This window comes from Homo sapiens, chromosome 8, assembly GCF_000001405.40.
Source record: "Homo sapiens chromosome 8, GRCh38.p14 Primary Assembly".
Lineage (NCBI taxonomy): Eukaryota > Metazoa > Chordata > Mammalia > Primates > Hominidae > Homo > Homo sapiens.
Window position 1 is genome coordinate 124,364,118 of NC_000008.11, and position 19,815 is coordinate 124,383,932.

Consider the following 19,815-nt stretch of genomic DNA (forward strand, 5'->3'; position numbering starts at 1 on the left):
AGAGAACAGTGATCCTTGAAATGTCTATCAAGATTAAACCCTGCTGAAAAGCAAAGGGAGGAAGTAAAAAGACAGGAAAAAGAAGAAAATTAAACACAATGGAAGAGTGACAATTGGCAGAAGTAAAATCAGACTTTAGAAACAATAACAGGATGTCATGAAGCAGACCTCCTTACACAGCAGAAAAGAGTTTACCATAACTACAAGGAATGAATGAGAATAGAGTAGAAAAGTCTGAGAGCACTGAGGAGGAGGGAGGGGCAGACTAAGCCCAGCACATTTCACTACCACTATGACAGAGTCTAAAAAGCATGCCAACTGAAACAGCAGTGTTCTGGAGGCATTTGGTGTAATGATTAGCATGTCTACAAATAGAAGTAACCTCAAAGAAACTTATTGTATTAAAATATAGTATATAAGGACTCCGACATCTGGTAGAAGCTAAATTATGCTCATTATATTTTTACTAAGGCAGATAAAAAATGCAATATGTTCAAATATTTTATCATCAAAAGCAATCAAAGTAAATGTCTCAGAGCTTAGGAGAAATGATTTTGTTACCTACAGTCTTTTATCTACAAGAACCTCTTATTTACTCTTACCTCTTATTGTCTGTCTGAGGTAATTTTAATATATAACTACTTGTTTTTATGTGTTTTCCTTTACTTAAAGCAGACATAAACCTGTGAGTCAAAGACAAGGCTACAGTCCTGTAAAGCTACATACTAACTAATTCAGATGACTTGGGCAAGATGCTAATAAAATCTACACTCAAGGATTTAGTCCCTATTTGTTCAAGTTATTTTATACCCAGACACACCAAAGGAAACCAGACAAGAGTGTGGTTATGCAAACTCATCACTATTTTTAGAAAAATGAAAACAATCTCCACTAATAATGGCAAAATATCACATCATCTCAAACTTTCAAGATCGTGATCTGTAGTTCCACCTGACCCTCTGGATGACCCTATAAATTGCTGACTTTATATTACTTCAATTTTCCTATCCACAAATTTGATCATAACAATTTGTCACAAATAAAAAATAGGCAATAAATGACTATTAAGGTGAAAAACAGCAAATTAATTACTGATAAATTAAACTATACATATAAGTGTTTGACTTACCTGGAAGCCATATTTCCCAAATTTCTAATATTTACAATTTAGTCAAGAATTTAGAAGTGAAGAGACAACACAATCAAGGAAAACAATTACCCAAAAGTTTATTTAATAGAGAGGTGAAGAGTCTGATAAGGAATCACCTTTCTGTCCTCCTTTTAATTTCCCTTCCCTTGAATCTGAACTGGTTTTAGTGACTTGCTTGACCATTACATGCAGCAGAAATAATGTTCTGGAACTTCAAAAGCTAGGTCATAACAAGTCTGTGGTAGGATGAATAATGGCCCCCAAAGATATCCCACATTCTAATTCCCTAACCTGTATATATGTTACATTATATGGCAAAAAGAATTTTGCAAGTGTAATTAAATTAAGGATTTTGAGAGAGTGAGATTATCCTGGATTATCCAGGTAAAACCTAAATATAATCATGAGGGTTCTTATAATAGGGAGGCAAAAAGGTCAATGAGGGAGCAGAGATTTTAGTGATGTGTCCAGGAACCAAGGAATCCCAAAAGATGAAAGAAGCAAAGAATACATTCTGCCCTGGACTCTCTAGAAGGACAGAGCCTTGCTGACACTTTGATTTTAGTCCTTTAAGACTTATTTTGGACTTTGTACTTTGACAACTCTAAGAGAATATGTTGTTTTATGCCACTGTATTTGTGGTGTTACAGCAGCAATAGAAAACTAATACAGGCCGGGCGTGGAGGTTCACGCCTGTAATCTCAGCACTTTGGGAGGCCGAGGCAGGAGGATTGCTTGAGGTCAGGAGTTCCAGACCAGCCTGGCCAACCTGGCAAAACCCCACCTCTACTAAAAATACAAAAATTAGCCAAGTGTGGTGGTGTGTGCCTGTAGTCTCAGCTACTCAGGGAGGCTGAAGCAGGAGAATCGCTTGAACCCGGGAGGCAGAGGTTGCAGTGAGCCAAGATCACACCACTGCACTCCAGACTGAGTGACAGCACGAGACTCCGTCTCAAAAAAGAGAAAGAAAACTAATACAAAGTCTTACAGCTTCTACCCAGCCCCCTTGGAACATTTTCTCTGGGATCCCTGACCTAAGTATTACAACCATGCTAACATTGTCATGCTGGTGAGGCCACATCCATCTCCTTGGGTCAACAGTTCCAGTTGAGGCCAGCCCTCCAGCCATCCACCAAAGTACCAGACACATAAACAAACCGATGTTGGACCTTCTGACCAGACCATCAGCCAGCCAAAGTTTATGTAATGACCTCCATAGATACCATAAGAAACAGCATCCAGCTGAGCCCTGCCTATATCCTTTTTTTTTCAATTTTATTTTTTTATTTCCTATGAACTCTGTACCTGCAACTGCCTATATTCTTGATCCACAAAATCATGAGCTATGATAGAAGGGTTGTTATTTGAAGTCACACGTAACTCTGGACATGTTATATGTAAGTGATGATTAAACACTGTTAAACAGCATATATGCCTTTCATAATGGAAAAAAAAAAACTTTACTTGATTACTTGATTATCTGTCTTCTACTGGCAGTAATCCCTAGTAATAAGACCATTCCAACATACCCCGTAACTCTAAAGAACTCAGAATTAAGCTTGCTGAAATATACTACTGTAATTAGGTTCTTTCCATATTGGTAAAATAACTGATTGTAGCAAAGCTTCATTTAACTGAGTGTAACTCAACTTATAGAAGCCCATGGCTCATCAGAGATCTCTCACTCCTCTTGCCTCAATTCATACTTCTTATCCACGTCCTTGTTCTTCCCCTCTTGCCGGGCCTAGGTGGGGCTATACTTCCCTTATTCCTTTTTACTATCTCAACAAAGGCACTGAAATATCTTTATTCACGTATCTTTATTTGCAGTATAAAATGTTTTTCTTGCCCTTTTTCTTATTGGACAAAAGCAAACTATTCCCAATCCATTCCAGAGGCTCATAGCTTAAAATAATTTATATTTAGGCTAGGCACGGTGCTCACAGCTGTAATCCCGGCACTTTGGAAGGCTAAGCTCGGTGGATCACCTGAGGTCAGGAGTTCGAGATGAACCTGGCCAACATGGTGAAACCCCACCTCTACTAAAAATACAAAACTTAGCCAATCACAGTGGTGCATGTCTGTAATCCCAGCTTCTCAGGAGGCTGAGGCAGGAGAATCGCTTGAACCTGGGAGATGGAGTTGCACTGAGCTGAGATCGCACCACTGCACTCCACCCTGGGCAACAGAGTGAGACTCTGTCTCAAAAAATAAAAAAAATTTAAGAAAAGAATTTCTATTTTCTCACATAATCCTGAGCAATGGGCTGAAAAAAAATAAGGATAATCTTGTTAAAGGTCCAAGATCTCTAGTGAACAGGGATTCCATAAGAAAGCCTAATTTATTTTTAAGTGTTTTAGATACTCAATTTAGTATAAGCTCTTTATCTTTCAGTCTTTCATTTTGTCAACGTCCTCTTATACTATATGGCAAGTTCTCAAAACAAAGCTCTTCACCCTACCTTAAACAATCACAAAAAATGGGGGACTACAAGATTAAAGTTTAGAATTATTTGGTTAATGTATACAGACGTAGATAAATGGTAAAAAATGTCAAAAGCACACAATTACCACTCACATAGAGTAATCAAAAAATGCAAGCTAATTGAGACCTAACATTGATAGAAAAACTGCTCTGTTCACCTCAATACATCTTTTATTTGCTATATGTAAAAACAATCTCATTTTTTAAATATCTTAAGTATACATATTATAACAAAAATATTCCCTAAGAGGCTCCCTTTTTCAAAACATATCTCTCATTGTACCTCTCCAATAGCCAGTTCTTGTCTCTCTGTGTAAACTCTCTGATGAGCATTAATTACACCACCTTAAATAATGTGGAAGCCAACCTCAAAGATGTACCCCCGATGATTCCCACTCCCTTGTATTCACACCTTGTGTAGTACTCTCCCACAATGTGTCAGGACAAAAGAGATGGACTGTCACTTCGAAGACTGCGTTTTAAAAGTCTGTGGCTTATAGTATACATATTATAACAAAAATATTCCCTAAGAGGCTCCTTTTTTCAAAACATATCTCTCATTTTACCTCTCCAATAGCCAGTTCTTGTCTCTCTGTGTAACTCTCTGATGAGCATTAATTACACCACCTTAAATAAGTGTGGAAGCCAGCCTCAAAGATGTACCCCCGATGATTCCCACTCCCTTGTATTCACACCTTCTGTAGTACTCTCCCACAATGTGTCAGGACAAAAGAGATGGACTGTCACTACTAAGACTGTGTTATAAAAGTCTGTGGCTTCCAGCTTAGGTGCCCACAGGTGCTGTCTTGCAAACACACTCGCTCTCTCTTGCTCTCTCGCTCTCTCATCACTTGCTCTAGAGGAAACCCACTGCCATGTCATGAGAATACTCAGGCAGCCCTGTGGAGGACCACATGGGAGGGAATTGAGACATCCAGCCAACAGCCATGTGAGTGAGACTTCTTGGAAATGGATCCTCCAGCCCCAGTTAAGACTTCAGATGATGCCACCCCAGCTGAGAGCTTGATTTCAACTTCTTAAGATCCTGGGCCAGAAATACTCAACTAAGATGCTATAGCATTCCTGAGCCTCAGAAATTATGAGTTAATACATGCTTGTTTTAAGCCACTGTGTTTTAGGATAATTTGTTATACCGCAATGGATAACTAATACAATGAGCACTGTCTATTTTTCAATACCAAATTGCTATATTTTAAAAGCTTTAAAAAATAATTATAAATGGAAATATTAATTACAAAAATTGGGAAGAAAATTTGTTTTAAAAATTTTGGCTAACATTGAAAGGCCACTGTAATAATGTCAGCTTGCCAGTACTACTTGTAAAAACATGAATAATGCTCTATCAGCAGAATATGGTCTGTTTCTGGAAGAAGAGAGATCAGGCTGAGCAGGTAAATTGAAGGCGCAAACTCAACTTTTTTTTAAATTGGGAAAGAAATTGGTTTGTAATTTTAAAAATCACAATATTCTATTTAACTATGATAAGATATCCCACAAGGTCTGCCTTATCTATTACGAACTGATTCCAAAGCTTTATCTCATCACAGATTATATCACATGCCTACTGATAAACATATAAGAAAGATAAGGGCAAATGTGCCAAATTTCAACAGCAGATTCCACTGCCATATCAAAGCATGGATGATATTTTTTCAGTAACATTTCCATACCAAATCCAAAACACTTCATTAGTTTATACAAGCACCCTTTCCAAAGACACACAAGATTGCCTATGGCAAGAAATAGCCCTTTAAATAGAATTAATTTTGTTAGAAAGTACACTTAGTACACACACACAATACATCGGTTGAGTACTTCAAAACATTATTCAAAAAGCAACAATAAAAGAAAACATGGGAGTTTTTCATTTATCTGGCTGGAAAAAAATTGTTGATTTCAGCAATGGAATGAGCTGTACGCATTCCCAACATAATAAAATCCCTTTTACCTTAATGATTAATGAATAAGGTAATTTCCTAAGTGATGATTCTAGTTATCTCCATAACTATATGTATTGATACTGAAAACAGTAAGTGAACACCAAGACTACATACACTAACAAAGCAGCAGCATCTGTGTCATTTGATTCATAGGACAATCATTTTGTCATCGACATCAGCAAAAATAGCTGATTTAAACTTTGATGTTCTTTAGCATATAAAGAGGAGAGATAAGCATCTGACTAACCATTGTTTCAAATATCCTTGACTGTTTCTCCTGAGCAAAGAAGACAATTTAAATTACTAATTTCTCTCTCATATTAGTAACATAACTAAGTTTAATTGATGCTAATGATCTCCATTGACTAAAGTGCTTAGGTCCTTTTCAGAATATTTAAAACCACGTTAAATTTAAAAATATTATCTTTATTAGGAAATGTAGCATTGCTACTGCAATACTGCTGGCATGTAAAAAATAATAATGTATGAGAAAAAAATTATTCAGTCACCTTGCAGGACATGTTTTTCAAGAACTGCCACAAAACTATATTCATAGGGCCCTCCAATCTTGTAACTTGTTGACAATGCAGAATTTCCAAGAAATTACTTGGAAAAGGTAAAATGTGTGTTCAAATAGTCTTGTCAGTGCAGAAAGATTCAAAAGTTAATGTTCTAGTACATGACTGACTATATTATTTTTCCAAGGAGCATATTTTCAGAATTGACTATTTTTAAACTGCATACTGAGTGCACACATAGATTACAAATGTGCTAGTGTTTCATTATGATTGCATATAACATCATGATTACACATTGAATAACGGAATTGATCGGACGTTACATTTTCCTGTAAAAGCACTGTGGGTAAACAATGTCTGGAATCAATCATCCACTATAAATTGGTCCACAATTTCCTGAACTGAGGGGGAAAACATCTGATTAAAAGCCACAACTAAAACAAGTTTCTGAAGTAGTACAGATAACGTCCTGCTTACATGAGGTAGATAATTCTTTCCTCCATTCCTGCACATCAGCTAAAGATATACTTTCAAGTCTGGCAAATCAAATGGCATGATCCGAATCAATGTGCTCTACACTTTGGAATCTATGAGATGTTTATGTACCTACCAAGTTTAGAGAGGAGAGTAAACTTTTTTAAAACTTTCAAACACATCAGAATGTAATACAAACTGAAGCAATGTGTTTTGTTTACATAACTGTATTTAAGTGGCAGAAATATTTTAAGACATCCATTTTAGTCGTTTGCTCCTTTCATCCTTTTTATTTTCTGAACTTTTAGCTTTTTCACCTAGACTCAAATTCTGCCCTACCCCATTCTGGACTCCTTTTAGAAATATCCTATTTTAACATGCTAGTTTAAAAATCGTTTTGCTTTCATCATTCCCAATTACTTTTGAGCATCAGTCTGACTTTTACTACAGAGCCACAGATTTCCAAAAAATATACCTCCTTATTTATTTCATTCTTTCAACCTCTGGGAAAAACCAAAACTGGAGTTTAACTTGAATCTGTCTTTCCATTTCTGGAGAAAATGTTTCCTTTGGCTGCTGAAATTAACGCAATCAGACATGTGTGGAAACAAGCAGCTATGAGCATCCCTGACTTTCGAAGCTACACCCCTTCTTTTGGCTACCCACCCATACGTCTTCATTTGATAACCGTTCAAAAAGTTTCTTCCTGCCAGGCGGGTTTGCAGCACTTTCTCGGAGCAGGCACAGCATGCCACCTGCACGGGTGCACGCTCGCAAGAAAGCAGCAAGGGCTAAGGGACAGGAGGGCTGGGGAGGGGAGGCACGGGGCAAATCAAAACTCAATCCCAACAGCGTTAACTGGCATTTTAGGCCGAAGCTCCGGATTCGGAGGCTGGGGAGGAAGTAGCTAGCGCTGGCCTCGGCTGCCTGGCACGACCCGCGCCCGTCCTACCTGCCTGGGGGAAACTCGGGCGGCGGAAAGTCTCCCCGCCCCCAGCCGTCCCAGGCGTGGGGCCAGACAGGCGAGGGGGGCGGAAGGGGGGCGGCGGCGGGGGTCCAAGATCCAGGGCCGCAGCGGGCTCCCGGTGGGCTGGCGAGAAGAGGAGGGCGTCGGGGCCCCCGGGCTCGCCCCCCACCTGCCCCCCTTACCTTGGGCAATGGCAATAGACTCGAAGCGGTGCAGCTCTTTGAGCAGGCAGCTCCTCTCCGTGGAGTGCAGGCTGTAGATGAAGTCGCGCGCGCCCTGCGCCGTGTTCAGCGCCTCCATGGGCTCCTTCTTGGGGTGCGTGCCCAGCCGCCTGGGGCCGCCCGGCAAGCCGCCGGGGGGCGCGAGCGCCAGCAGCCCCCGCCCGCAGCAGCACCAGGACGGCGGGCGGGGCGCGGCGGCGGCGGCCGGGCCCGGCCTCAGGCTGCGCGCGGTCCGGCTCCTCAGCAGCGGCAGCAGCCGGGACATGGCGAGCTGAGGAGCTGGGACCCCCGCGGCCGTCCGGCAAGGCGGTTTCTGGCGCGGCTGAGGCGAGAAGGAGCTGGGCTCAGCTCGACCCCGCCCCGAGGTCCTCCTGCCAGGCAGCCGAGGCGCCGGGCACCATGCACTCCGCGGGCCCGCGCGGCTCTCGCCTCCTGTTCCGTCCCCACTTCCTTTCCAAAAGGCCCGCGGCGGCTCCCGCCCCTCCGATGGGAAAAACTTTCTCTGAGACGGCCGGGCCCGGACAGCGCCCGGAGAGGGCGGGCGGTCGGTGCGGGCGGGCGCCTCCCGGCTGAGGAGGAGCGGCGCGGGCGGGCGGGGCGGGCTAGTGTGTGTCTCTGTCAGTCTGATCTTCCAGAGGATGAGTCAGCCACGCACCGCCCTCCTCCAGCGCCGCCCTACTCTCCCGCCAGCTTTCTCACCCTCTAGCCTCCCCACGTCCCCACTCTGTAAGGTTCCCGAGCCCTCAAAGCAGCCGCGCTCCCGAGCCGCAGCCGCCGCCGCCGCCGCTACCCCTAGCGGCAGCAGAAGTGGGAACGGGGCGGGGCGAAAGGGGAAGGAGGTGCGGGGGGGCGGGGAGGTGTGTGAGCGAGGCTGCGCAGGCGCAGTCTGCAGGCTCTCGGGCCGCCCTCCCTCCTAGGGGAGGAGCGTGCACACGCGTCCCCTCCCGCGCTGGTGCGTGAAGGTGGAAGGAGGTAGGGTGCGCCACCCTGTGCTGGCGTTAAACCTACAGATCGGAATAGGGAAAACGAGCTCTGGACCCCTCGCCCGCCAGGGTAGTACAGCTGCCACCCGGCCCCCAACCTGGGGCCACATCTGGAGCTTGTTCTGAAAGGTGCCCCGGCGTGCGGCCCCGCTCTGGACAGGCGGAGAGCTGCGCTGCCACCCCAGCCCCGACGGGATCACGGCGCTCTGCTCCGGAACGAAGCGCCCCAGCTGCGCCCTTCGCCAAGTCAGCGCCCACCGCCGCTTCGGCCGAGCAGGCCGGCTCTAATGCAGTCGCTCTGGGCGCCCCAAAGAGAAAGCGAAGCCAGTTCCACCCCTGCCCAAGGAGGGTCTGAGACTGAGCCCTTGACACGAGAACAGTCCTCCCCGTTCAGATTCCAGCAGCTGGCATGCAAATTGTTAATGCTAGAGGCAGAGGCAAGAATGTCATAGACCTTTCCTAGTGGTTGCTTGTGATTTTTTTGTCTCTGTGCTAAAGCGGGAAGAATAATTTGATTGTCCACGATTTCCCCTGATCCAGGTCCTAGGCATCTTTCAAGGCCCAGGTGAAAGGTCTCCTACTTCATTAAGCTGTCCCTAATCTCTTCTAAGGGAGGAGATCTCTGCTTTATCTGAACCTGTCTAATGACGCTTAGGCACCCTTAGAGAATAAATCCACTTAATAAATCTGCTGGAGCGTAATCAAGATCTAAATCCCATCCTTATCATAAACAGTGCTGCACTCAGCCCGGAAACTTGTAGGTAGTAAATGTGCTACATGTAAGTAGAATATTAAACTGAATAATGGAGGATTGTTACCACTAAAGCCTCCTACTTCTCTAACTCTGGTTCTCAAAGTGTGTCCCAGAGCTTTTTAGACGTGAGAAATAGTGGACCCCACTTCACACCTCCTGAATCAGAACGTAGACATTGGACCCAGTCATGTGGGTTTTAACAAGCCCTCCAGTAATAACACACACGAAAGCTTGAGAAACACTGATGTCTCTTAAACATTGAAAGGAATCGCTTCTTTTTTAAATTCCAAGGTGATGCCTCTGTGATGTAATAACAACAATTAAGAATGCTCTCTGTGGAAATGAAAGCTTTTTGAGTGCATAAAGTATATCTTCCTTGTCTTTGAAACCCCCTTCATTCCCTAGTGTGCACTGGAATCCTCTGCAGAGCTATTTCAGTCTCAGGCTCATGGGAGTACCACCCCATCCCCCCCACAATTTCCTACCCCCAAGATATTCTGATTCACTGGGGTGGATCACAGGCCCCAGACCTGGGAAGTGAGGTTTGAAAAAAGTTCTTCAGTAAGAACCCATTCCCAACCACCTCCAGAATAGTAGTTTAGTGTGTAGCCTCCAGAGACAGACTGTGGAAAGTTCGATCCCTGGATCAACCGTCTCCTAACTATGTGTTAGTATTAGATTGTTATAGTAGTGATCCCCAATGAACTACACCTTCTATTATCCGCTCCGTTGTGTGGTCCACCTCTACATTGACTGTGGGCTTGGCTATTTGACTTGTTTTGGTCAATAAATAGGAGGACATCATAAACGTGATATGATACATGTTTGCTCATTGGGGTTTGCTGTAATGCTTTTGCTATATTACTATAGAATATTTAATTCTATTATAAAACAAGAGAAACTAAAATGTAGAAGCAAGTCACTTATGAGAAAGGTTACACATAGAATGAATGGATATGGGTTGAACATAGATAAAAAGGATGGAACAAATGAAAATGCTGCTTTAGATAGAGGCAGAAAGACAAAGTGGACTTTTAAGTATTAATAAGGTACAGATCATACTATCTTCAGATTTACAGCCATGTCATCCCTAAATTGCATACCTACTGGTAACACCCATTGTAACGCTATTATGGCCTCATGTAATCTCTTCCCAAGAAAAGCAGATAAACCCCCAGCTACAAAGCCAACTAATGCCAGCTACCATTATAACCAGACACACTTGCCCCTCAGCTCTGTAACAGAACAGACATATGTTGAGCCCAGGCCCCTTCAGTCTGTTGAGTCACCTTACTTACTCTCCAGTCTGGTCCTTGTAGCCACACTATGTGCTGAGAAGACTGGATGGTGGAGAGGGATAAGACATGAGAACATTGCATAAAACAGAATTTAGGTGCTATGGTCCTTCAGCCTATCCTAAGCTTATTAATCTACCCTATCTCTTTCCCCTTGCTTCTCACTCTGTTTTATGTTGGTTGGTAAACTCTTCTGGTTATTATTGCTGCTCTTTGGGTAGACACATTATGCCAAAACTTAGTAGTTTAATTAGCCAATTTATTTTGCTCTTAATTTTGAGGCTCAGAAATTGGGGAAGAACTTACTTGGACAGTTATTTTATTGGAGTCGTTTATGTAGTATCAATCAGATTTCAACACAACTGCTGTCATTTGAAAGTTCAGCTGGGCTGAATAGCTAAGATGGCTCACTGACATGGCTGACTGGTAGCTCAAATGGGGCTGAGAACCAGAGCACTTTCACACAGCCACTCCAGCATGGTGATCTTCTCACCAGACAGCTGGCTTTCCCCAGAGTGAATGTCTAAAAAGAAGCAGGCTTGTGGCGTTTTCTGACCTATCCTTGGAAGTCACACAGTATCACTTCCACTGTATTCTACTGGCTATAAGCCAACCCCTAGGGCCAGCCCCTATTCAAGGGAAAGGGATATAAACCCCACATCTTAATAGGAGTAATGCCAAAACCTTTGAGGATACGTTTTAGAACCACCAGATAATGTGATTTAAGCTTCTTAATTTGGCCTATAAGCCTATCTATTTCGTGACCTGTAGGTGTATACATGGAGGCTGCCATTGCATCAAGGTAATTTTCCACATGGAAAAATTGCCTCGAAGACATTTACCTTTTGGAATCCAGCTGCTGCATAAAGAAGTCTGATGTATCCTGCTGGAAAGACCAAATGGAGGAGGAGGCCGTAGCCAACAGCCCCAGCTAACTGCCAAACATGCATGACAGCATCTTGGACCATCCAGGCTCAATTGAGCCCCAGATGACAGCATTGGGGTTGAGAGCACTAGCTCTAGACTCAGACTGCCTGGATTTGAGTCCTTATACTGTCATTTCTTAGCTGTGTAACCTTGAGCTGATCAACCTTTCCGTGGTTGCCCATCTGTTTAATGGGAATAAGAACATGTTCAGTTTGCTCACCTGTTAAATATAGATAAGGGCATCTGCTTTGTAATGTTATAGTGAAACCAAATAATACATGTAAAGCATTTCAAACAGCACCTGATACATGACAAGCATGCAATAAATACTAGCTATTATTATCTAAATGCCCACGGACCTCTCAAATCTCTACGATTATGTCTTTGGACCCTCATTTGAGAAATGCCCACCTAGCTATCTGTCATTTAATACATGGATGTGTATTAACTGCATCCCCTAACCACTTCCTTCTCTGAACACCTGAATATCCTAAATATGAATGGATGAAGGATCTAGGGAGGGAGATAATTTGGGGATCGTTTATGGGGCTGTGGAGCAGGTCTAGATGCAGGTGGCAAAGGGGAGTTTCCGAAGAAATATGATGGTGCTGAAGAGGAAATGCTAGCAGGCTGGAGGGGCTACAGAAATGGAAGATAGAAGGAAGGAAAGCCCAGAAGGCAAACTTGGCCTGAGTTCAGCCCAGCCTGTTCTTCGCTTTTAAAGAGGACAACTGTCATACCTCGGTTAACAATCACAGTTTCCTCCTCATGAAAAATTGCTGCTGAATCATCAGTCCATGGTAAGCTGCATCATATAAATACGCTCCAGAGTTCCTGGCTTCCCTGTTGCTGGCAGGGCACACAGCTGTTTGCTGCCTGCCATTGATGAAACTTTATACACCCAGCTATTCTGCTTTAAAATTCTTGAAATTGTTGCTTTACCTAGTGGACCCTTTAATCATTTCTTCTGCCCATATTTTTGCAATTTCCTCATTGCACTTCTCATCCATCAAGCTCCTGCCTTAGTATTCTGACCCCTGGAAGGCCTCTGCCCCATCACAGTGGTGGTGAATAAATTGTTTCTTCACAATGGAAACCACAAAGTCTTATTAGAACAATTAAAGAAGACTTAAATAAGTGGAGAGAAATACCAATTCAAGATTGAAAAACTCAGTAGTATAAGATGTCAATTCTCCCTAAATGCATTTGTCAGGGTTCTCCAGAGAAACACAACCAATAGGATATAGAAATATATACAGAATGAAATTAATTATGAGGAATTGGCTGGTATGGTTATGGAGGCTGAGAAGTTTCATTATCTGCTGTCTGCAAGCTGAAGGCCCAGGAAAGCTGGTGGTATAATTTAGTCCAATTCTGATAGCCTGAGAACCAGGGGGTCACAAGTGTAAGTCCCAGTCCAAGTCTGAAGGCCTGAGAACCAGGACCACCAATGTCCGAGAGCTGGAGGAGACAGATGCCTCAGCTCAGGCAGAGGTAGTATTTTTACCCTTCTTCTGCCTTTTTGTTCTATTTCAGCCTTCTGTGTATTAGATGATGCCCACTCACATTGGTGAATGTGAACTTCTTTACTCAGTCTACCAGTTCAGATGCTGATCTCCTCCAGAAATACCCTCGCCAACATACCCAGAAATAATATTTTACCAGTTACCTGGGCATCCCTTGGCCCAGTCAAGTTGACATAAAATTAATCATCACACCAAATTAATCTATAAATTCAGTGTTTGATCCCAGTCAAAATCCCAGCTGGGTTTGTGTGTCTGTATGTGTGTGTGTGGAAATTGTCAAACTGATATGAAAATTCACATTGAAATACAAATAGATATAGCATACCAGAAAGAGGATTGATCCCCTGAGCTTGAATCCTAACTCTAACACCTACCAGCTGTATCAATTCGGACATGTTGCTTATCAATCTAAGCCTTTGTTTTTTTTGTTTGTTTGTTTTTGTTTTGTTTTGATTTTTATGAAAATCTACCTCACAGAATCATAAGGGTAAAATGAGACAATGTATGTTTAAAAAAAGAAAGACACAGTACCTAACATGTAGTAGATGTTCAACAAATGATAGGTAGCATTAAAAGGCCTCAAGATGTAAAAACTAGTGTTAGCAATAGACCGTATATCTAGAAGTGTCAGAGACTAATTCAACTTTAAAGCTAAAAGAAAGAGAACACAACTAGGATCTCTGTTTTCTCAGCTTTCCTTCACTCAACAACCCCTTACATTCTAGCTGTCCAGGTTTCAAAGGAAGAAGTTTGGATACATAAATTTGGGAGTCATCAGCATCCAGGTATCATTTAAAGCTATAAGCTGATCAGGTTGCCATTGGGGTAAAGATAGAGATGAGCAGAGAGTCTGGTCCTGACCCTGGGACTCCTCATCAGTGAGAACTTGTAAGAGGCACATGAGGCAACAAGGTAGAAGGAAAACTGGAGACTGCTGAGGTTTATGGCCTGAAACTATGTTCACCTAATGTAAGACTGGTCATTTTTGTTGTTGGAAACTTGAATGATTTTTGTAACCTTCTCCTTTGCATTTGTCTCTCTTGCTTGAATTGTTTATGATAAGTATACACAATTTAAACAGAAACAAAGAAAGTAACTATGGAATTATTTTGGTCTAAAATACCTGAGAAATCCTAAATAAATCTCAAACAGACAATCTCCTCTTTTGAGTCCTTTGTACTCCTCTACACCATTCATTCAATACGGCTTTTCATCATCACCACTGGGGCACTTCATTTCTAAAGATTTTATCTAGGCTGGGTGTGGTGGCTCACGACTGTAATCCCAACACTTTGGAAGGCTGAGGCGAGTGGATCAATTAAGGTCAGGAGTCTGAGACCAGCCTGACCAACATGGTGAAACCCCCCTACTAAAAATACAAAAATTAGCTGGGCATGGTGGTGGATGCCTGTAATCCCAGCTACTTGGGACGCTGAGGCAGGAGAATTGCTTGAACCCAGGAGGCAAAGGTTGCAGTGAGCCAAGATCATGCAACTGCACTCCAGCCTGGGCAACAGAGTGAGACTCCATCACAAAAAACAAAAAACAACAACAAAAAAAGATTTAATCTACCTGCTAAAAAATGCCAAGCACAAGGCAAGACATAGTATTTCATGAAAACAGGATGAAAAATATAAGAAAGGGGCTGTCACTTGGAAACTCAAAACTTCTGTGCTTAATTTCATACTCTATGAGGCTCATGTTTATCTGCCTATAATATCACATTTATATGCAACACCTACAATAACACACCTATATGCAACAAGTCTTTATTCCACACCCAACATAAAAAGTGCATACGTGCACAAATACACAGAGAGACACACATACACACACATACACATGCATGTACAGGCACAAACACACAAACAACTACCTGACTCTTCAAGGCACTATTTTGTAACTTTTTCCCCTTCCATGTTGACCTTTGCCTTTGAGGTTGGGGAAGGGTCTTGATTAAAGTAAATATAAGCATAGACATAAAATGCCCTCTCTTCAAACTTTAAAGTCAAATTCTTAGTGAGGCTTTGAAATATTTAGATGCTGCAATAACTATTTTTTTAATTTTTAATTTTCATGGGTACATAGCAGGTGTATGTATTTATGGGGTACATGAGATGTTTTGAAACAGGCATGCCATGCTTAATAATCGCATCATGGAAAATGGGGTATGAATCCCTTCAAGCATTTATCCTTTGTGCTATAAATGATCTAATTTTACTCTTTTATTTATTTTAAAATGTACAATTAAATTATTATTGACTATAGTCCCCCTGTTTTGTTATCAAATATTAGGTCTTATTCATTCTTTTGAACTATTTTTTTTGTACCCATTAACCATCACTGCCTCCCCTACACACACCCACACTACCCTTCCTAGCCTCTGGTAACCACCCTTCTACTCTCTATGTCCTGGATTTCAATTGTTTGATTTTTAGATCCCATAAATAAGTGAGAACATGCAATGATTGTCTTTTTGTGCCTGGTTAATCTCACATTATGTTAATAACATAATGACCTCCAGTTCCATTATTGCAAATGACATGATTTCATTCTTTTTTATGGCTGAATAGTACTCCATTGTGTATAAGTACCACATTTTCTTTACCCATTCATCTGTTGATGGACACTTAGGTTGCTTCCAGATCTTGGCTATTGTGAATAGTGCTGCAATAAACATGGGAGTGCAGATATCTCTTCAATATACTGATTTCATTTCTTTTGGTTATATACTCAGCAGTGGGATTGCTAGATCATATGGTAGCTCTATTTTTAGTTTCTTGAGGAACCTCTAAACTTTTCTTCATAGTGGTTGTACTAATTTCCATTCCCATCAACAGTGTACAAGGGTTCCCTTTTCTCCATATTCTTGCAAGCACGTGTTATTGCCTGTCTTTTGGATATAAGCCATTTTAACTGGAATGAGATGATATCTCATTGTACTTTTGATTTGCAATTCTCTGATGATCAGTGATGTTGAACCTTTTCATATGCCTGTTTGCCATTTGTAGGTCTCCTTTTGAGAAATGTTGCAAGAACTATTTTTGAGAAAAGGCTCCAGCTTTTGAGCCCAGGAGAAAGGTCAGTGTTTGAAAGACGTTCACTGTTCCTGTTTGTGTTCAAGGGAAAATAAGGTGTCGATACAGATATGCTGAACACCTTTTCCAAGATACTTATCAAATCATCTTCTAAAACATATCTCAATTCAACACATTGACACCCACTCTGTACTGGCTATCACTCTAGGTACTAGGAGCATACAAATAGATACTTTGTTTAAAGCCAAATTTTCTGTTTAAGGTCTAATATTTTAAATGTTATGAATTACTGCTATTCAATAGTGTCCAATTCTCCGGGTCCAAGGGAACTGTTCTTCCTTGAACCCTTGAAGTTAGAGGTGATCTTGTGGCTTGCTTTGGACAATGAATAGAGACCTGACATATTTCACTTCTGAATATCTGTGCTCAACTATGCAGCTCTCTCATCTCCTACCATGGTGAGATTCACAACATGTGCTGAAATTGATGTTCCGTGAAATTGATGAGACCTGGAATAGATAGCCAATATAGGACAGCTTCCCTGGGGATTTTCCTCAACCCACGGCAGACTTTTCAAGACAGAGAAATAAACTCTTATGTATTATCAGTGTGATTTTGGGATTGCTTCTTACTGCATCAAAACCTCACATATGCCCGGCATGGTGGCTCAAGCCTGTAATCCCAGCACTTTGGGAGGCCAAGGCAGGTGGATCACCTAAGGTCAGGAGTTGGAGACCAGCCTGGCCAACATGGTGAAACCCTGTTTCTACTAAAAATACAAAAAAAATTAAAAATACCAAAAAAAAAAAAAAAAAAACCCTCACATATGAGGCCGCGTACAGTGGCTCATGCCTGTAATCCTAGCACTTTTGGAGGCCGAGGAGGGTGGATTGCCTGAGCCCAGGAGTTCGAGACCAGCCTGGGCAATGCGGTGAAACCCTGTCTCTACTAAAAATACAAAAAAAATTAGCCCAGCATGATGGTACACATCTGCAATCACAGCTACTTGGGAGGCTGAGGTATGAGAATTGCTTGAACCCAAGAGGCAGAGGTTGCAGTGAGCCGAGATCGTGCCACTGCACTCTAGCCTGGGTGACAGAGCAAGACTCCATCTCAAAAACAAAACAAAACAAAACTTCACATATGTGATACAGCTCTTCCTTGGTTCTGTTTGTTGTTTTTATGAAGTTGAATGCCTTCCTTTATTCCTGCTATTTCCTTTACCTAAACGGAGGACCTATTTTGGCACTAGGATGTTTGTCTGACCTGATTAGGATACAGAGAGACAGGATCCTGTTTTCCTCTATCTGGTTTCTGAGTTTTATGTGAGTCTGGAGCCACAGACATAGATTTTCGAGTCAACATTATTAAGGAAGTTATTAAATCCAAACAAGTGGATGTTATTGTCTATGACAAATGTGTCAATGAAAGCATAACGGACTTAAGGCAGAGACCTGGGGAACAACAACATTTAAGGGATACACAGTGGAAGAAGAAAGAACCAAAGAAAGAAATGAGATGATACCTCAAGAGAAAAAAAATTCTGTAGCCACAGAAGCCAAAGGATAATAACATTTCTAGAATTAGTAGTCTAGAGTTACAAAGGCAGCAGCAAAATCAAGTAAATTGAGGACAGAAAGTGCTCATTAGAAATGGTGGATTGAACACATATAATTACGACCATGCTGTTGGAAAATCACACTAGAAGGAATGTAAATGGTTTTTATTATTATTATTATACTTTAAGTTCTAGGGTACATGTGCACAACATGCAGGTTTGTTACATATGTATACACGTGCCATGTTGGTGTGCTGCACCCATTAACTCATCATTTATTTCTGCTAATACTATCCCTCCCCACTTCCCCCACCCCACGACAGGCCCTGGTGTGTGATGTTCCCCTCCCTGGGTCCAAGTGTTCTCACTGTTCAATTCCCACCTATGAGTGAGAACAGGCGGTGTTTGGTTTTCTGTCCTTGCGATAGTTTGCTCAGAATGATGGTTTCCAACTTCATCCATGTCTCTACAAAGGACATAAATTTATCCTTCTTTATGGCTGCATAGTATTCCATGGTGTATATGTGCCATATTTTCTTAATCTAGTCTGTCATTGATGGACATTTAGATTGGTTCCAAGTCTTCGCTATTCTGAATAGTGCTGCGATAAACATATGTGTGCATGTGTTTTTATAGTAGCATGATTTATAATCCTTTGGGTATATACCCAGTAATGGGATGGCTGGGTCAAACAGTATATCTAGTTCTAGATCCTGGAGGAATCACCACACTGTCTTCCACAATGGTTGAACTAGTTTACAGTCCCACCAACAGTGTAAAAGCATTCCTATTTCTCCACATCCTCTCCAGCACCTGTTGTTTCCTGACTTTTTAATGATCGCCATTCTAACTAGTGTGAGATGGTGTCTCATTGTGGTTTTGATTTGCATTTCTCGGATGACCAGTGATGATGAGCATTTTCTCATGTGTCTGTTGTTGACTGCATAAATGCCTTCTTTTGAGAAGTGTCTGTTCATATCCTTTACCCACTTGTTGATGGGGTTGTTTGATTTTTTCTTGTAAACTTGTTTAAGTTCTTTGTAGATTCTGGATATTAGCCCTTTGTCAGATGAGCAGACTGCAAACATTTTATCCCATTCTGTAGGTTGCCTGTTCACTCTGATGGTAGTTTCTTTTGCTGTGCAGAAGCTGTTTAGTTTAATTAGATCCCATTTGTCAATTTTGGCTTTTGATGCCATTGCTTTTGGTGTTTTACACATGAAGTCCTTGCCCATGGCTATGTTCTGAATGGTATTGCCTAGGTTTTCTTCTAGGGTTTTTATGGTTTTAGGTCTAACATTTAAGTCTTTAATCCATCTTGAATTAATTTTTGTATAAGGTGTAAGGAAGGGATCCAGTTTCAGCTTTCTACATATGGCTAGCCAGTTTTCCCAGCACCATTTATTAAATAGGGAATCATTTCCCCATTTCTTGTTTTTGTCAGATTTGTCAAAGATCAGATGGTTGTAGATGTGTGGTGTTATTTCTGAGGCCTCTGTTCTGTTCCATTGGTCTATATCACTGTTTTGGTACCAGTACCATACTGTTTTGGTTACTGTAGGCTTGTAGTATAGTTTGAAGTCGGGTAGCGTGATGCCTCCAGCTTTGTTCTTTTGGCTTAGGATTGTCTTGGCAATGAGGACTCTTTTTTGATTCCATATGAACTTTAAAGTAGTTTTTTCCAATTCTGTGAAGAAAGTCATTGGTAGCTTGATGGGGATGGCATTGAATCTATAAATTACCTTGGGCAGTATGGCCATTTTCACAATATTGATTCTTCCTATCCATGAGCATGGGATGTTCTTCCATTTGTTTGTGTCCTCTTTTATTTTGTTGAGCAGTGGTTTGTAGTTCTCCTTGAAGAGGTCCTTCACATCCCTTGTAAGTTGGATTCCTAGGTATTTTATTCTCTTTCTAGCAATTGTGAGTGGGAGTTCACTCATGATTTGGCTCTCTGTT

The 19,815-nt window shown here is 41.7% G+C and overlaps 1 protein-coding gene across 1 annotated transcript in view, besides 7 other annotated features; it reads right to left on the reverse strand.

Moving 5' to 3' along the window:
• TMEM65 (transmembrane protein 65) overlaps positions 1-8,584 on the reverse strand; it is a 66,513-nt gene extending 57,929 nt beyond the window's left edge. Inside the window, exon 1 of the mRNA NM_194291.3 lies at positions 7,737-8,584. Within this exon, the coding sequence (NP_919267.2) occupies positions 7,737-8,040 (304 nt within the window). The 5' untranslated portion in view covers positions 8,041-8,584. The remainder of the gene's footprint in view (positions 1-7,736) is intronic.
• Positions 7,607-7,656: a silencer, noted in NCBI's record as "silent region_19508". NCBI's record gives its function as "represses an Ori minimal core promoter by ATAC-STARR-seq in GM12878 lymphoblastoid cells {active_cell/tissue: GM12878}" and the evidence as "EXISTENCE:reporter gene assay evidence [ECO:0000049][PMID:35858748]".
• Positions 7,667-7,796: a silencer, noted in NCBI's record as "silent region_19509". NCBI's record gives its function as "represses an Ori minimal core promoter by ATAC-STARR-seq in GM12878 lymphoblastoid cells {active_cell/tissue: GM12878}" and the evidence as "EXISTENCE:reporter gene assay evidence [ECO:0000049][PMID:35858748]".
• Positions 7,847-7,976: a silencer, noted in NCBI's record as "silent region_19510". NCBI's record gives its function as "represses an Ori minimal core promoter by ATAC-STARR-seq in GM12878 lymphoblastoid cells {active_cell/tissue: GM12878}" and the evidence as "EXISTENCE:reporter gene assay evidence [ECO:0000049][PMID:35858748]".
• Positions 8,107-8,376: a silencer, noted in NCBI's record as "silent region_19511". NCBI's record gives its function as "represses an Ori minimal core promoter by ATAC-STARR-seq in GM12878 lymphoblastoid cells {active_cell/tissue: GM12878}" and the evidence as "EXISTENCE:reporter gene assay evidence [ECO:0000049][PMID:35858748]".
• Positions 8,451-8,745: an enhancer, noted in NCBI's record as "tiled region #2045; HepG2 Activating DNase matched - State 1:Tss, and K562 Activating DNase unmatched - State 1:Tss". NCBI's record gives its function as "activates a minimal TATA promoter and a strong SV40 promoter by Sharpr-MPRA in HepG2 and K562 cells {active_cell/tissue: HepG2 | K562}" and the evidence as "EXISTENCE:reporter gene assay evidence [ECO:0000049][PMID:27701403]".
• Positions 8,497-8,726: a silencer, noted in NCBI's record as "silent region_19512". NCBI's record gives its function as "represses an Ori minimal core promoter by ATAC-STARR-seq in GM12878 lymphoblastoid cells {active_cell/tissue: GM12878}" and the evidence as "EXISTENCE:reporter gene assay evidence [ECO:0000049][PMID:35858748]".
• Positions 8,957-9,146: an enhancer, noted in NCBI's record as "active region_27881". NCBI's record gives its function as "activates an Ori minimal core promoter by ATAC-STARR-seq in GM12878 lymphoblastoid cells {active_cell/tissue: GM12878}" and the evidence as "EXISTENCE:reporter gene assay evidence [ECO:0000049][PMID:35858748]".